We start from the raw sequence: 15235 nt of genomic DNA on the forward strand, positions 1-15235 counted from the left end.
TTATACAGGGCTATCTGCTAAAGAACTCATCAAATCTTTGAGCCTATAGGGTCTGTAGAACTTAGAGTTGATGTAGTCCAAGACTTTTTTCTAACGTATTAGTCTTTCCTGGATGGTAATTGATATGGTTTGGCTCTGTCCCCTTCCAAATCTCATCTTGAATTGTAGCTCCCATAATTCCCACGTGTTGTGGGAGGGACCCAGGAGAAGATAATTTAATCATGGGGACAGTTGCCCCATACTGTTCTCATGGTACTGAATAAGTCTCATGAGATCTAATTGTTTTATAAGGCATTTCCCCTTTCACTTGGCTCTCATTCTCTCTTGCCTGCCACTATGTAAGATGTGCCTTTCTCCTTCTGCCACAATTGTGAGGTCTCCCCAGCCATGTGGAACTGAAAATCAATTAAATCTCTTTTTCTTTATTAACTACCCATTCTCGGGTATGTCTTTATCAGCACTGTGAGAACTGACTAATACAGTCATTTAGTCTCTCTTTGAATACCTATAGGGACAAGTGAGTAATTATTTCAAAGTGTGGCACATAGTATTTTTGCAATATTCTGATTCCTTATGTTAAATCAAAGTTTGTGTCTCAGAACCATTCTCCCATTGGTCTTGGATCTTCTCTCTAGAGATATTCAGAAAAATAGCTGTTTCTTCTTGCTTATAAGCAGTTTGTTTACTCATTATTCCCATTATTCTCATTGTAACAATTTTTTAGAAAATACAAAGTAGAAAAATACTAGTAAAACTGCAACCAAATAGAACCACTGTATTAATATTCCAGTATTTATCTTCCAGTTTTTATACCTTTATAGAAAAGTTAAGATTATAGTGTACATATTTTTATAAAACTGACTATGTATTTCAATAATATTAATCAAAAAAATTTCATGTGTTATAGCATACACAGTATTCTTCCACAGCACTATTTTTTCTTAGCTGCATCATCTCCTTTTGTATGATTGGACCATATTTTATTTATTCCATTCCTGCTGTTAAGCATTTAGGTATTTTCTAACATAAAACCACTACAATTCATATTTATTAATTCATGTATGAATATGCGTTGATTGTCACTTTATGCTAACAATTGTACTCGGTACTGGGAAAAAGAGGGTAAAAGAATTCCAAAATGATCCCTGTCCTAAAGGAGCTCATATCCTCCTTTTAGCTTAATTTATAGTAATTTGATTGCCTTAGGTAATAGGTAATTTTACTTCCCTATAAGGGAAGGGAAGTAGAACAGAGAAAATACACATTATACACTGGAGAAATCTTTGGCTTTTTATTGAGAAGTAGTCATCCAGGTGTACACCTTCCTTGTTTGAGAGAGCCTTTTTCCTCCCAATGTCCCCAGCACTGAATTTTTATCACTTTGTTAAACCTTCCAAATTTGAGGTTGACTATAAAGAAATCACACTGTTATTTTAATTGGAATTTCTTTAACTTCTAGTTATTTACTGTCATTTTTTGGGTGGGAATTGTTAAAACAAGCCACTTTCAGCACACTATTCATCATAAAATACTCTAAGATTTAAAAAATGCTCTTTTATAAGCTAACAGAATTTTAATCAAAGATAGAAAATGCTTATGACCTCATTTCATCTTTTATATGAACTACGCCAAATTGTTTGCTTGCTTCTTCAAGTGACTGGTGTGTTTTTTTTAGCAAGTGTTACAAGGTGTTCACAAGCTAAGTGCTTTTTTTGAACACCTGACTTCTTCCACTGAAAAGCCTTTGAGCCCAAGAAAACAGGTTTCAATAGGGTTAATTTAGTTACTCAGGCTGTCACAGTGACTTCACTCCCAATTATCTTGTGGTGGTACGTATTTGTCTCAACCTACACATTATTTTAACATAGCTGTGTTTAATAGCATGTGGAGAGAGTAAGTGTTTACTTTCATTTAACAGAGTAGCACATGATCTGTTCAACAGCCACCATCATGAAACAGAAAATAAGTTGGTCTCAGAGCATGAGAACAGAGAATCTAAAATGCAAGTCCAGGCCTTGGTAATACTGGCAGATTCCCTCTGGGGTTCACCACAGGTCTGTGACCCTCTAACAGATCACCTGAGCTTGCCTGGTGGCCCATAGGCAATGATAGATGCCCTAAATTATAAGCAGGACCCAAAGTAAAGAAGACCCAGGCATGCTAGTTACAGAAGGGTTCTGCTTATTCTCTAAGGAACTGGACAGACTCACTTGCTAGAGGTTTCTTCCTCTGTTCTCTAGCCAAGTTGCCCTCACCTTTTAGCCACATTTCTCTCTTCTTCTCTGAGATGGTTGGGAAGCTCCATGCAGTTAGACTAAAGATATATGTGGTTCATCTTAGGTGACACTTTTCCAGGAAGCTCCTTCTGGTCCTTTCAAATGTGTATACTGGATCTCTCTTCTGAGGCCCAAAGGCACTAATAATAGCAAACACTTCTATAGTGTTAATTATGCTAGGCATTCTTCTAAACACTCTCTTTAATTAACTCACTTAATCCTTGCAACAATCCTATGAGAAGAATATTATCTCAGTTTTATAAATGAAGAAAATGCAGAAGATAGAAGTACCTTGCCCAGGGTTACACAGTTGATAAGTAGAACCAGAATTCTAGCCCTGGCATTCTGGCCCTAGAATCCATTATGCTGTAGTTTGTACCTCTCCTTTGGCAAATATACTCAAACACAAACTCTGCCCTGAAAAGACAATTCCAGTTCCCTTTGTTTCATGATATGGAAACAAAGCTCAGAGTGATCTGCCTAAAGCCACACCGTCAAAGAGGGGCAGAAGTGAAATTAAAACCAGATGTCCTGGCTCCCCCTTCATTATATTGCTCAAGGAGCACATCTGCTATCATAGTTATTTGTCTGCTTCTCCTACTCACATCATTGGATGTAAACATCCTCAGCATGGCAGAGTGCATTGTTTTTTAAATGTTAATCTTTTATATTGTACCTTCCCTATCTGTACCATTATTATTTTAATATTTAATTTAATACAATTTTTACTGCCCTTGGTCTCATCCTATGAAACAATATTGAAACCATGGCTTTGCCATCCTGATTTCATCTATTTTTCTAGTACATGTTAAAATAAATACCTGTTGTTTTTTTTTTTTTTAGATTTGCTTGTGTGTTTCCTAAAGTATGGGGCCCTCCTTCAGAAGACATAATGCCACAATGAGGAAACACTGGTTCAGTAAACAGAGACACAGATTTAGAGATGGGGTCAAGTGCTAGCTCTGTCAGTTACTACCTTCTGGGCTAATCATTGGAGCTGTGGTCATTCTTCTGGAGCTCTTCTGCAGATAGGGTTAAAATATCTTTACCCTGTTTACCTTTATGGCTGACTGTGAGGCTAGGTTGAGAAAGAGATGGTACTTTATGAACTCTGGAGCACAAATCTCCTCTTTTTGCTACTCCTCCTTGTAATCCTCATTATTCACCTCTGTATTCCCTATAGCATCAGTCTGAGCACGTTGTGGGTAACAGACACTTGAGGCATGACTATGGGATGAATAGAATTGTGTTCTAAGTCTGTATTACCTGAGTATCTACTGGAAGTTCAGAGGAGTAAGAAGAAGGTTAAATCTCACTTGCTATCTTGAAGGTGCTCCCCTGGTTACTGCATCACAACTTAACTCTGGCTCTCATCAAAGCTCCTATACTTTGGCTGTCTCCCATTAGAAATGCAATCACTCTCAGCATTTATTGAATTGATAACTTTATTAAAGAATTGAGGTTAGAGCCAAGCTGGCTGAACAGGAACAGCTCCAGTCTACAGCTCCGAGTGTGAGTGACGCAGAAGACGGGTGATTTCTGCATTTCTATCTGAGGTACCGGGTTCATCTCACTAGGGAGTGCTAGACAGTGGGCACAGGACAGTGGGTGCAGCACACCATGCACGAGCTGAAGCAGGGCAAGGCATTGCCTCACTCGGGAAGCGCAAGGGGTCAGGGAGTTCCCTTTCCTAGTCAAAGAAAAGGATGACAGACGTCACCTGGAAAAACGGGTCACTCCCACCCTAATACTGCGCTTTTCTGACGGGCTTAAAAAATGGCGCACCAGGAGCTTATATCCCGCACATGGCTCGGAGGGTCCTATGCCCACGGAGTCTCACTGATTGCTAGCACAGCAGCCTGAGATCAAACTGCAAGGTGGCAGCGAGGCTGGGGGAGGGGTGCCCACCATTGCCCAGGCTTGCTTAGGTAAACAAAGCAGCTGGGAAGCTCAAGCTGGATGGAACCCACCACAGCTCAAGGAGGCCTGCCTGCCTCTGTAGGCTCCACCTTTGGGGACAGGGCACAGACAAACAAAAAGACAGCAGTAACCTCTGCAGACTTAAATGTCCCTGTCTGACAGCTTTGAAGAGAGCAGTCGTTTTCCCAGCACGTAGCTGGAGATCTGAGAACGGGCAGACTGCCTCCTCAAGTGGATCCCAGACCCCTGACCCCCAAGCAGCCTAACTGGGAGGCACCCCCTGGTAGGGGCAGACTGACACCTCACATGGCTGGGTACTCCTCTGAGACAAAACTTCCAGAGGAACGATCAGGCAGCAGCATTCGCGATTCACGAAAATCCACAGTTCTGCAGCCACCGCTGCTGATACCCAGGGAAACAGGGACTGGAGTGGACCTCTAGCAAACTCCAACAGACCAGCAGCTGAGGGTCCTGTCTGTTAGAAGGAAAACTAACAAACAGAAAGGACATCCACACCAAAAAACCCATCTGTACATCACCATCATCAAAGACCAAAAGTAGATAAAACCAAAAAGATGGGGGAAAAACAGAGCAGAAAAACTGGAAACTCTAAAAAGCAGAGCGCCTCTCCTGCTCCAAAGGAAGGCAGTTTGTCACCAGCAACGGAACAAAGCTGGACAGAGAATGACTTTGACGAGTTGAGAGAAGAAGGCTTCAGACGATCAAACTACTCCGAGATACAGGAGGAAATTCTAACCAAAGGCAAAGAGGTTGAAAACCTTGAAAAAAATTTAGATGAATGTATAACTAGAATAACCAATACAGAGAAGTGCTTAAAGGAGCTGATGGAGATGAAAGCCAAGGCTCAAGAACTACTTGGAGAATGCAGAAGCCTCAGGAGCCGATGCGATCAACTGGAAGTAAGGGTATCAGCGATGGAAGATGAAATGAATGAAATGAAGTGAGAAGGGAAGTTTAGAGAAAAAAGAATAAAAAGAAACGAACAAAGCCTCCAAGAAATATGGGACTATGTGAAAAGACCAAATTTACGTCTGATTGGTGTACCTGAAAGTGACGGGGAGAATGGAACCAAGTTGGAAAACACTCTGCAGGATATTATCCAGGAGAACTTCCCCAATCTAGCAAGGCAGGCCAACATTCAGATTCAGGAAATACAGAGAACGCCACAAAGATACTCCTCGAGAAGAGCAACTCCAAGGCACATAATTGTCAGATTCACCAAAGTAGAAATGAAAGAAAAAATGTTAAGGGCAGGCAGAGAGAAAGGTCGGGTTACCCACAAAGGGAAGCCCATCAGACTAACAGCGGATCTCTTGGCAGAAACTCTACAAGCCAGAAGAGAGTGGGGGCCAATATTCAACATTCTTAAAGAAAAGAATTTTCAACCCAGATTTTCATATCCAGCCAAACTAAGCTTCATAAGTGAAAGAGAAATAAAATCCTTTACAGACAAGCAAATGCTGAGAAATTTTGTCACCACCAGGCATGCCCTACAAGAGTTCCTGAAGGAAGCACTAAACATGGAAAGGAACAACTGGTACCAGCCACTGCAAAATCATGCCAAATTGTAAAGACCATTGAGGCTAGGAAGAAACTGCATCAACTAATGAGCAAAATAACCAGCTAACATCATAATGACAGGATCAAATTCACACATAACAATATTAACTTTAAATGTAAAGGGACTAAATGCTCCAATTAAAAGACAAAGACTGGCAAATTGGATAAAGAGTCAAGACCCATCAGTGTGCTGTATTCAGGAAACCCATCTCATGGGCAGAGACACACATAGGCTCAAAATAAAAGCATGGAGGAAGATCTACCAAGCAAATGGAAAACAAAAAAAATGCAGGGGTTGCAATCCTAGTCTCTGATAAAACAGACTTTCAACCAACAAAGATCAAAGAGACAAAGGCCATTACATAATGGTAAAGGGATCAATTCAACAAGAAGAGCTAACTATCCTAAATATATATGCACCCAATACAGGTGCACCCAGATTCATAAAGCAAGTCCTTAGAGACCTACAAAGAGACTTAGACTCCCACACAATAATAATGGGAGACTTTAACACCCCACTGTCAACATTAGACAGATCAGCGAGACAGAAAGTTAACAAGGATATCCAGGAATTGAACTCAGCTCTGCACCAAGTGGACCTAATAGACATCTACAGAACTCTCCACCCCAAATCAACAGAATATACATTTTTTTCAGCACCACACCACACCTATTCCAAAATTGACCACAAAGTTGGAAGTAAAGCACCCCTCAGCAAATGTAAAAGAACAGAAATTATAAAAAAACTGTCTCTCAAACCACGGTGCAATCAAACTAGAACTCAGGATTAAGAAACTCACTCAAAACCGCTCAACTACATGGAAACTGAACAACCTGCTCCTGAATAACTACTGGGTACATAATGAAATGAAGGCAGAAATAAAGATGTTCTTTGAAACCAGTGAGAACAAAGACACAACATACCAGACTCTCTGGGACACATTCAAAGCAGTGTGTAGAGGGAAATTTATAGCACTAAATGCCCACAAGAGAAAGCAGGAAAGATCCAAAATTGACACCCTAACATCACAATGAAAAGAACTAGAGAAGCAAGAGCAAACACATTCAAAAGCTAGCAGAAGGCAAGAAATAACTAAGATCAGAGCAGAACTGAAGGAAATGGAGACACAAAAAACCCTTCAAAAAATTAATGAATCCAGGCGCTGGTTTTTTGAAAGGATCAACAAAATTGATAGACCACTAGTAAGACTAATAAAGAAGAAAAGAGAGAAGAATCAAATAGACACAATAAAAAATGATAAAGGGGATATCACCACTGATCCCACAGAAATACAAACTACCATCAGAGAAGACTACAAACACCTCTACACAAATAAACTAGAAAATCTATAAGAAATGGCTAAATTCCTCGACACATACACCCTCCCAAGACTAAACCAGGAAGAAGTTGAATCTCTGAAATAGTGGCAATAATCAATAGCTTACCAACCAAAAAGAGAGAGTCCAGGACCAGATGGATTCACAGCCGAATTCTACCAGAGGTACAAGGAGGAGCTGGTACCATTCCTTCTGAAACTATTCCAATCAATAGAAAAAGAGGGAATCCTCCCTAACTCATTTTATGAGGCCAGCGTCATCCTGATACCAAAGCCTGGCAGAGACACAACCGAAAAAGAGAATTTTAGACCAATATCCCTGATGAACATTGATGCAAAAATCCTCAATAAAATACTGGCAAACCGAATCCAGCAGCACATCAAAAAGCTTATCCACCATGATCAAGTGGGCTTCATCCCTGGAATGCAAGGCTGGTTCAATATACACAAATCAATAAGTGTAATCCAGCATATAAACAGAACCAAAGACAAAAACCACATGATTATCTCAATAGATGCAGAAAAGGCCTTTGACAAAATTCAACAACCCTTCATGCTAAAAACTCTCAATAAATTAGGTATTCATGGGACGTATCTCAAAACAATAAGAGCTATCTTTGACAAACCCACAGCCAATATCATACTGAATGGTCAAAAACTGGAAGCATTCCCTTTGAAAACGGGCACAAGACAGGGATGCCCTCTCTCACCACTCCTATTCAACATAGTGTTGGAAGTTCTGGCCAGGGCAATGAGGCAGGAGAAGGAAATAAAGGGTATTCATTTAGGAAAAGAGGAAGTCAAATTGTCCCTGTTTGCAGATGACATGATTGTATGTCTAGAAAACCCCATTGTCTCAGCCCAAAAACTCCTTAAGCTGATATGTAACTTCAGCAAAGTCTCAGGATGCAAAATCAATGTACAAAAATCACAAGCATTCTTACACACCAATAACAGACAAACAGAGAGCCAAATCATGAGTGAATTCCCATTCACAATTGCTTCAAAGAGAATAAAATACCTAGGAATCCAACTTACAAGGGATGTAAAGGACCTCTTCAAGGAGAACTACAAACCACTGCTCAATGAAATAAAAGAGGATACAAACAAATGGAAGAACATTCCATGCTCATGGGTAGGAAGAATCAATATTGTGAAAATGGCCATACTGCCCAGGGTAATTTATAGATTCAATGCCATCCCCATCAAGCTACCAAGGACTTTCTTCACAGAATTGGAAAAAACTATTTTAAAGTTCATATGGAACCAAAAAAGAGTCCGCATCACCAAGTCAATCCTAAGCCAAAAGAACAAAGCTGGAGGCATCACGCTACCTGACTTCAAACTATACTACAAGGCTACAGTAACCAAAACAGCATGGTACTGGTACCAAAACAGAGATATAGATCAATGGAACAGAACAGAGCTCTCAGAAATAACACTGCATATCTACAACTATCTGATCTTTGACTAACCTGAGAAAAACAAGCAATGGGGAAAGGATTCCCTATTTAATAAATGGTGCTGGGAAAACTGGCTAGCCATATGGAGAAAGCTGAAACTGCATCCCTTCCTTACAACTTATACAAAAAGTAATTCAAGATGGATTAAAGACTTAAACGTTAGACCTAAAACCATAAAAACCCTAGAAGAAAACCTAGGCATTACCATTCAGGACATAGGCATGGGCAAGGACTTCATGTCTAAAACACCAAAAGCAATGGCAACAAAAGCCAAAATTGACAAATGGGATCTAATTAAACTAAAGAGCTTCTGCACAGCAAAAGAAACTACCATCAGAGTGAACAGACAACCCACAAAATGGGAGAAAATTTTTGCAACCTACCCATCTGACAAAGGGCTAATATCCAGAATCTACAATGAACTCAAACACATTTACAAGAAAAAAAACAACCCCATCAAAACGTGGACAAAGGATATGAGCAGACACTTCTCAAAAGAAGACATTTATGCAGCCAAAAAACAAATGAAAAAATGCTCACCATCACTGGCCATCAGAGAAATGCAAATCAAAACCACAATGAGATACCATCTCACACCAGTTAGAATGGCAATCATTAAGTCAGGAAACAACAGGTGCTACAGAGGATGTGGAGAAATAGGAATGCTTTTACACTGTTGGTGGGACTGTAAACTAGTTCAACCATTGTGGCAGTCAGCATTGCGATTCCTCAGGGATCTAGAACTAGAAATACCATTTGACCCAGCCATCCCATTACTGGGTATATACCCAAAGGACTATAAATCATGCTGCTATAAAGACACATGCACACGTATGTTTATTGTGGCACTATTCACAATAGCAAAGACTTGGAACCAACCCAAATGTCCAACAATGATAGACTGGATTAAGAAAATGTGGCACATATACACCATGGTATACTATGCAGCCATAAAAAATGATGAGTTCATGTCCTTTATAGGGATATGGATGAAATTGGAAATCATCATTCTCAGTAAACTATTGCAAGGACAAAAAAACCAAACACCGCATGTTCTCACTCATAGGTGGGAATTGAACAATGAGAACACATGGACACAGGAAGGGGAACATCACACTCTGGGGACTGTTGTGGGGTGGGAGGAGGGGACAGGATAGCGTTAGGAGATACACCTAATGCTAAATGACGAGTTAATGGGTGCAGCACACCAGCATGGCATATGTATACATACGTAACTAACCTGCACATTGTGCACATGTACCCTAAAACTTAAAGTATAATAACAATAATAATAATAAATTGAGAGATTTATAAAATGGTATCATATATCAGTCTACATAGCTTCTGTGAGTTCCCAGATTTTCATTTTCATTCATTCATTCGTGCTCTCTCTCTCTTTCTCTTTCTCCTTCTCTCTCTTCATTCATCCATCCTTTTATTCCGGCCCTGGTATTCTCACCCATGCTTACCCTTGAAAAACCCAAGTAGTTTTATTATTTTAATATTCTGACTGCAACTGTGCTAACAACAATAATAGCAGCGTTCCCCTGCCACATCTTTCATTTCTATGATAATCCTGTAAGACAGACAAGGCAAGGACCACTGTCTCCGTTTTACAGGCAAGGAAACAGTCTTTTAGACATCCCAAATCAGTTATGATATTCTCATAAGAAGTTAAGATTAGAACCTTGGTCTTATTCTGAGCCCAGTGCACTCTTCTTTTCAACAAGTTCTCAAGTCATCATCTCTGTGAAGCCACAATATGTACAGTCATTGAAGCAAGTAAGATTTCTAAGGAAAGAGTTCAGCTGTGTGAGGAAATGAGGGATTCCAAAATGGGGCCCTAAGAAATGTCAGCATTTACAAATCAGCTATAAGAGAGAGACACTTACAATGGATTCTGAGATAAAGTGGCCAGAAAAGTAGGAGGAAAACCAAAAAAGAGGGGTATCATAGGAACCAAAAGAAGAGAATGCTCTAAAACTAAAATGGTGGTCTACTGGATTTCATCATTCTGAAAAATTTACTAGGAAGAAGTCAGAGCAGATTCACTGGATACAGCAACATGAAGATCATTGATGATCTGGGAAGAAAAATTTCATTGGAGCACTTGGGGAGGAAGCCATATAAAGATGAGTTGAAGAATGAATGGGATATGAAGACTTGAAAATAACACTTGCAGACATCTTGGGGAGAAGTATAACAGAAAAACAAGGTGGTAACTGGAGGGACATGCTACTTTACGGAGGATTTTTAAATTTGAGATCAGATTTGTTACAGCAAGTTTGAGTGCAATTGAGGAGATAGGATATGCAGGAGGAATTGATTGAAGGCTTTTAAAATTTATTTTCAGTATCATTTTATTAATTCATTCTCTCTCTCTCTCTCTCTCTCTCTCTCTCTCTTTCTCTCTCTCTCTCTCTCTCTCTCTCTCTCTCTCTCTCTCTCTGTCTCCAGGTTCCTAGTGTCTTATTGCTTTTATGCTGTCTCCTTGAAAGCCTAGCTGCAATCCACAAAAGCCAGCTTACCTACCCTCAGTTCAAACCTTAACCCCTCTCACACTTCATTTTGTCCCAATTATGGTATTCTTTTTCCCAAAAACCAATTTTTCTCTCTCCAATCACAAAGGAAGACTTTCAGTCCAACAAATTTAGAGCAAACTGAGAGTGGTAATTCAATTTATGTCATTTTTCAGAGGATATTAACATTTTTAAAGAGCTAAAATGGGAATAGTAATCACCCTGTATAATAATTTTTTATTGCTTCTTAACAAATTATCACAAATTTAGCAGCTTAAAACAACACCTGTTTATCATCTCACAGTTTCTGTAGGTCAGTAGTCTAGCATGGCACAGCTGGTTTCTCTGCTTAGGGTGTCATAGGGCCAAAATGAAGGTTTTGGCCAGCTGGGCTCTCATCGGAAGGCTCTTGGAAGGAAAGAACTCTAATCTCATTCAGGTTATTGGCAGAATTCGGATCTTGCAGTTGTAGAACTGAGGTCCTCATCTCCTTGCTGGCCATCACCCAAGGGCTATTCTCAGCTTCTGGAGGCCACAGGCATTTCTTGGCACATTGTTTCTACTCTCTCTAAACACAGGGATGGCATGTCGAATTGTCTCATGCTTTGAATCTCTGAATTCCCTTTCTGCTAACAGAGAAAAAGCAGCTTTCAGCGGCCTGGACTGATTAGCTCAAGCCCACTCGTGTACTCTCCACATCTTAAGAGAGATATATAATTGGCTTAAATGCCTTCTCAGCAGTACCTGGATTAGTGTTTGGTTGAGCAACCAGAGGATGGGAATCTGGGGAGTCATCTACTATACCCTGGAACTAAAGAATCTTCTGAGTTCTTCAAGGAATCTCTCCACCATACCTACAGCCACCTGTGATAGACACTGCTCTATCCACAGCTCCCAGGCAGCCATGTTTTTTTGTTTGGTTGATTGGTTGTTTGGTTGGTTGGGTTGTTTGTTTTTTTGTTTGTGACAGAGTCTTGCTCTGTTGTCCAGGCTGGAGTGCAATGGCAAGATCTCGGCTCACTGCAAGCTCCACCTCCTGGATTCATGCCATTCTCCTGCCTCAGCCTCCCGAGTAGCTGGGACTACAGGCGCCTGCCACCATGCCTGGCTAATTTTTTGTATTTTTAGTACAGATGGGGTTTCACCAGGTTAACCAGGATGTTCTCGATCTCCTGACTTCGTGATCCACTCGCCTCAGCCTCCCAAAGTGCTGGGATTACAGGCGTGAGCCACCGTGCCCAGCCTAGCCATGTTTTTATTATGTGACATCAGAGCCATCCCCCTACTACAGCTTACTGAACTAAGTGTGACTCCCTGACCCATGGAGCACACTCAGCCTCTTTTAACTTTCAGTTCTTAGTCCTAGTCCTTCAAAAAACACATTTGTAGGTGCTGCCCATGAGTTAGGTAAAATAAGTTAGTGTTTTGCCCTGTTGTGGAAGCCAGTTTGGGCAGGTGTTCATTACTTGAAACCCAAAGACCACTAGATGATGGGTTGATAGGTACAGCAAACCACCGTGGCACATGTATACCTGTGTAAAAAACCTGCATATTCTGCACATGTATCCCAGAACTTAAAATAAAAAATGAGTGGCTAATGGATCTGAAAACTGTTATTGGATTCACATTACTGGAGACTATCACCTGTGTGACATACCAGTTGAGCTACAGGGCTAAACTGAGAAATCAGGAAAAGAGACCATCAAAGATGATCCTGATTAAAACCACTGTTATGCCAGGGTGACTTTGTGTATATCCAAGATGTGTCTTCTGAGAAGTGAAATCAGGGAGGTGTATATTCTTCACTGCCATAATCCAGCCAGGTTAATAAATAAACAACTAAAGAACATCAGAAAGGCTTGGGGATGAGTAAAGAAATTAGAATCCAAATATGCCAACTTATATTATCTAAATGTAAATTTTCAGTAAAACGTGCCAAAAAAAAAAGAGACAGAGAAACCAGGGCATTGTTAGTGACACCCTCAGGTCCAACCACTCATTTATTTATTTCAAGAATCTTTAGCAAATTTTATGTCCAAGGCATCCTCTTAAGTAAACATTAGGAAAGAAAAGAAAACCGTATCTGGCTTGAGGAAAGCTATCACCCTGAAGTTGCAGGGAATCATTATGTTTTGGAGAGTGAGGAAGACTGATTGAAATGATAGCCAGGTAATGTCCTTCCTGTGTCTTCCTGTGTCTGCTCCTACTGTGACATTTGGCTCAATCACATGACTTGCCTGGACCAATAGGATGCTAGCCGACTTGACAGATGCAGAGGCCTGGGAAAGGGCAACACATTTTTGGTTTCTCTTTTGGAACCCTGCAGCCACAAGAAAAAAAACCCAAGCAGTCCAGGGGAGGATGAGAGATAACACGAGGTAGAGCTGAGCCAACCCAGCCCTGGATGGACCCACCAGCCCCCAGCCAACCTGACAGCTGCACACAGACACATGAGTAAGTCCCATGCAGATCAGTGAACTACCCACCCAACCCACAGATTTGCAAAATAATAATAGATGAGTGCTGTTTTCAGGCACTAAGTTTTGGGGTGTTTTGTTATGCACCAATAGATACGTGATACAGAGAGAACCAAAGTAACTTCAGAACTACGGGCCAGATATTTTCTAACGGGCCAGATATTTTCTAATTTGGAGAGAAGGGAAAATCAGTTGCCTAAGATTTATGGCTTTATTCAATTGAGAGAATTCAAAGGTAAAGGGGCCTCAACTGCTTCAAATGCCGCCCAGCTCTCCCTCTGTTCAGATTTTAACAAATTTGCCAGCCTTTTCTGGCATCCATATCAGGTCATTTAATTAAGTAATAGAAAGGTAATTAAGACCGAAATATGATTATTTGGGTTAGTCTTGTGCACCCACAGAGGAAGAAAAGCAGAATGTGCCAGCTGCAAACATCTGCAGTGAAAGAAGTCTGGGACAAAAAGCAGTTTCTGCTCTTGCCTCCTGTTCTTTCAGAAAACACCAGTCTTCTAGGGCAGTAAATTAGTAGTGAGTCACTAGCTGTATAATACGTGCTGCTTGTCTCATGAGACATTAAACCGAGGTCCCTTCTGCTCACATCGTGCACCTGTCACCAAATGTCCAATAAAAATCCTGTTCTCTGAGGGCATGTCAGGAAGGAGCAGGGCAAAGACTTGCCCAAGCCTTCCTCAGCAGTCCAGGAGAGCCCCCAGGCAAGGTACTCCCTGTGGCCTGCCCCAAGGCTGAGTCATCAGAGGCCCTCATCCGCAAATCCCACCTGATCTATGGCTGCTGGCAATCAGACACAGAGAAATGAATGCCAAATAAGGGCTGTGTGTGACACACTCAAGTTTACTCCCTCTCCGAGGTGGTCTGGGGAATTTCTGAGGTAGATCTCACCTAGGTAGTGGGGAAGAATGGGCATGGGCCAGAAGTCAGGAGACTTGGTTTCAAAGCTTTTGTCATGTAGTCAGTGTGTGACCTGAGACAAGATTCCCAACTTCCCAGATGGCTCTCCTGCATTATCTCCTGTAAAATAGGGACAGTGATAGCTGTTTGCCAACCTCACACATCAGCCTTAATTTTTTTTTACACTGGATAATGTATGGGAAAGGGGGCTTGAAATGGTAAGAAGCATTCAAAATTTGACATTCTCATTCTCGAGTTATGTGATGTAAAAGCATAATGTCTAGGGCTAGGTGACCTGAATTTAAGCCTCTGCCTCTTACTGACTGCGTGACCTTGAGCAGGCTACTTAGTTCAACTTTCGTCATCTGCAAAATGTGGCTGCTATAACAATACTTCTAAAAGTTTTGAGGATTAGGGTTGGTTCCAAGTCTTTGCTATTGTGAATAATGCCGCAACAAACATACGTGTGCGTGTGTCTTTATAGCAGCATGATTTATAGTGCTTTGGGTATATACCCAGTAATGGGATGGCTGGGTCAAATGGTATTTCTAGTTCTAGATCCCTGAGGAGTCGCCACACTGACTTCCACAATGGTTGCACTAGTTTACGGTCCCACCAACAGTGTGAAAGCATTCCTATTTCTCCACATCCTCTCAACCCAAATGTCCATCAATGGTAGACTGGATTAAGAAAATGTGGCACATGTACACCATGGAATACTATGCAGCCATAAAAAATGATGAGTTCATGTCC

At 40.9% G+C, this 15235-nt stretch overlaps 1 long non-coding RNA gene across 1 annotated transcript in view, besides 2 other annotated features; it reads left to right on the forward strand.

Moving 5' to 3' along the window:
- LOC105375951 (uncharacterized) overlaps window positions 1-15235 on the forward strand; it is a 261361-nt gene that overhangs the window by 44463 nt on the left and 201663 nt on the right. The window lies entirely within an intron of this gene.
- Window positions 14181-14230: an enhancer, noted in NCBI's record as "active region_28126". NCBI's record gives its function as "activates an Ori minimal core promoter by ATAC-STARR-seq in GM12878 lymphoblastoid cells {active_cell/tissue: GM12878}" and the evidence as "EXISTENCE:reporter gene assay evidence [ECO:0000049][PMID:35858748]".
- Window positions 14351-14400: an enhancer, noted in NCBI's record as "active region_28127". NCBI's record gives its function as "activates an Ori minimal core promoter by ATAC-STARR-seq in GM12878 lymphoblastoid cells {active_cell/tissue: GM12878}" and the evidence as "EXISTENCE:reporter gene assay evidence [ECO:0000049][PMID:35858748]".

Source organism: Homo sapiens, chromosome 9, assembly GCF_000001405.40.
Source record: "Homo sapiens chromosome 9, GRCh38.p14 Primary Assembly".
NCBI classification, from domain to species: domain Eukaryota; kingdom Metazoa; phylum Chordata; class Mammalia; order Primates; family Hominidae; genus Homo; species Homo sapiens.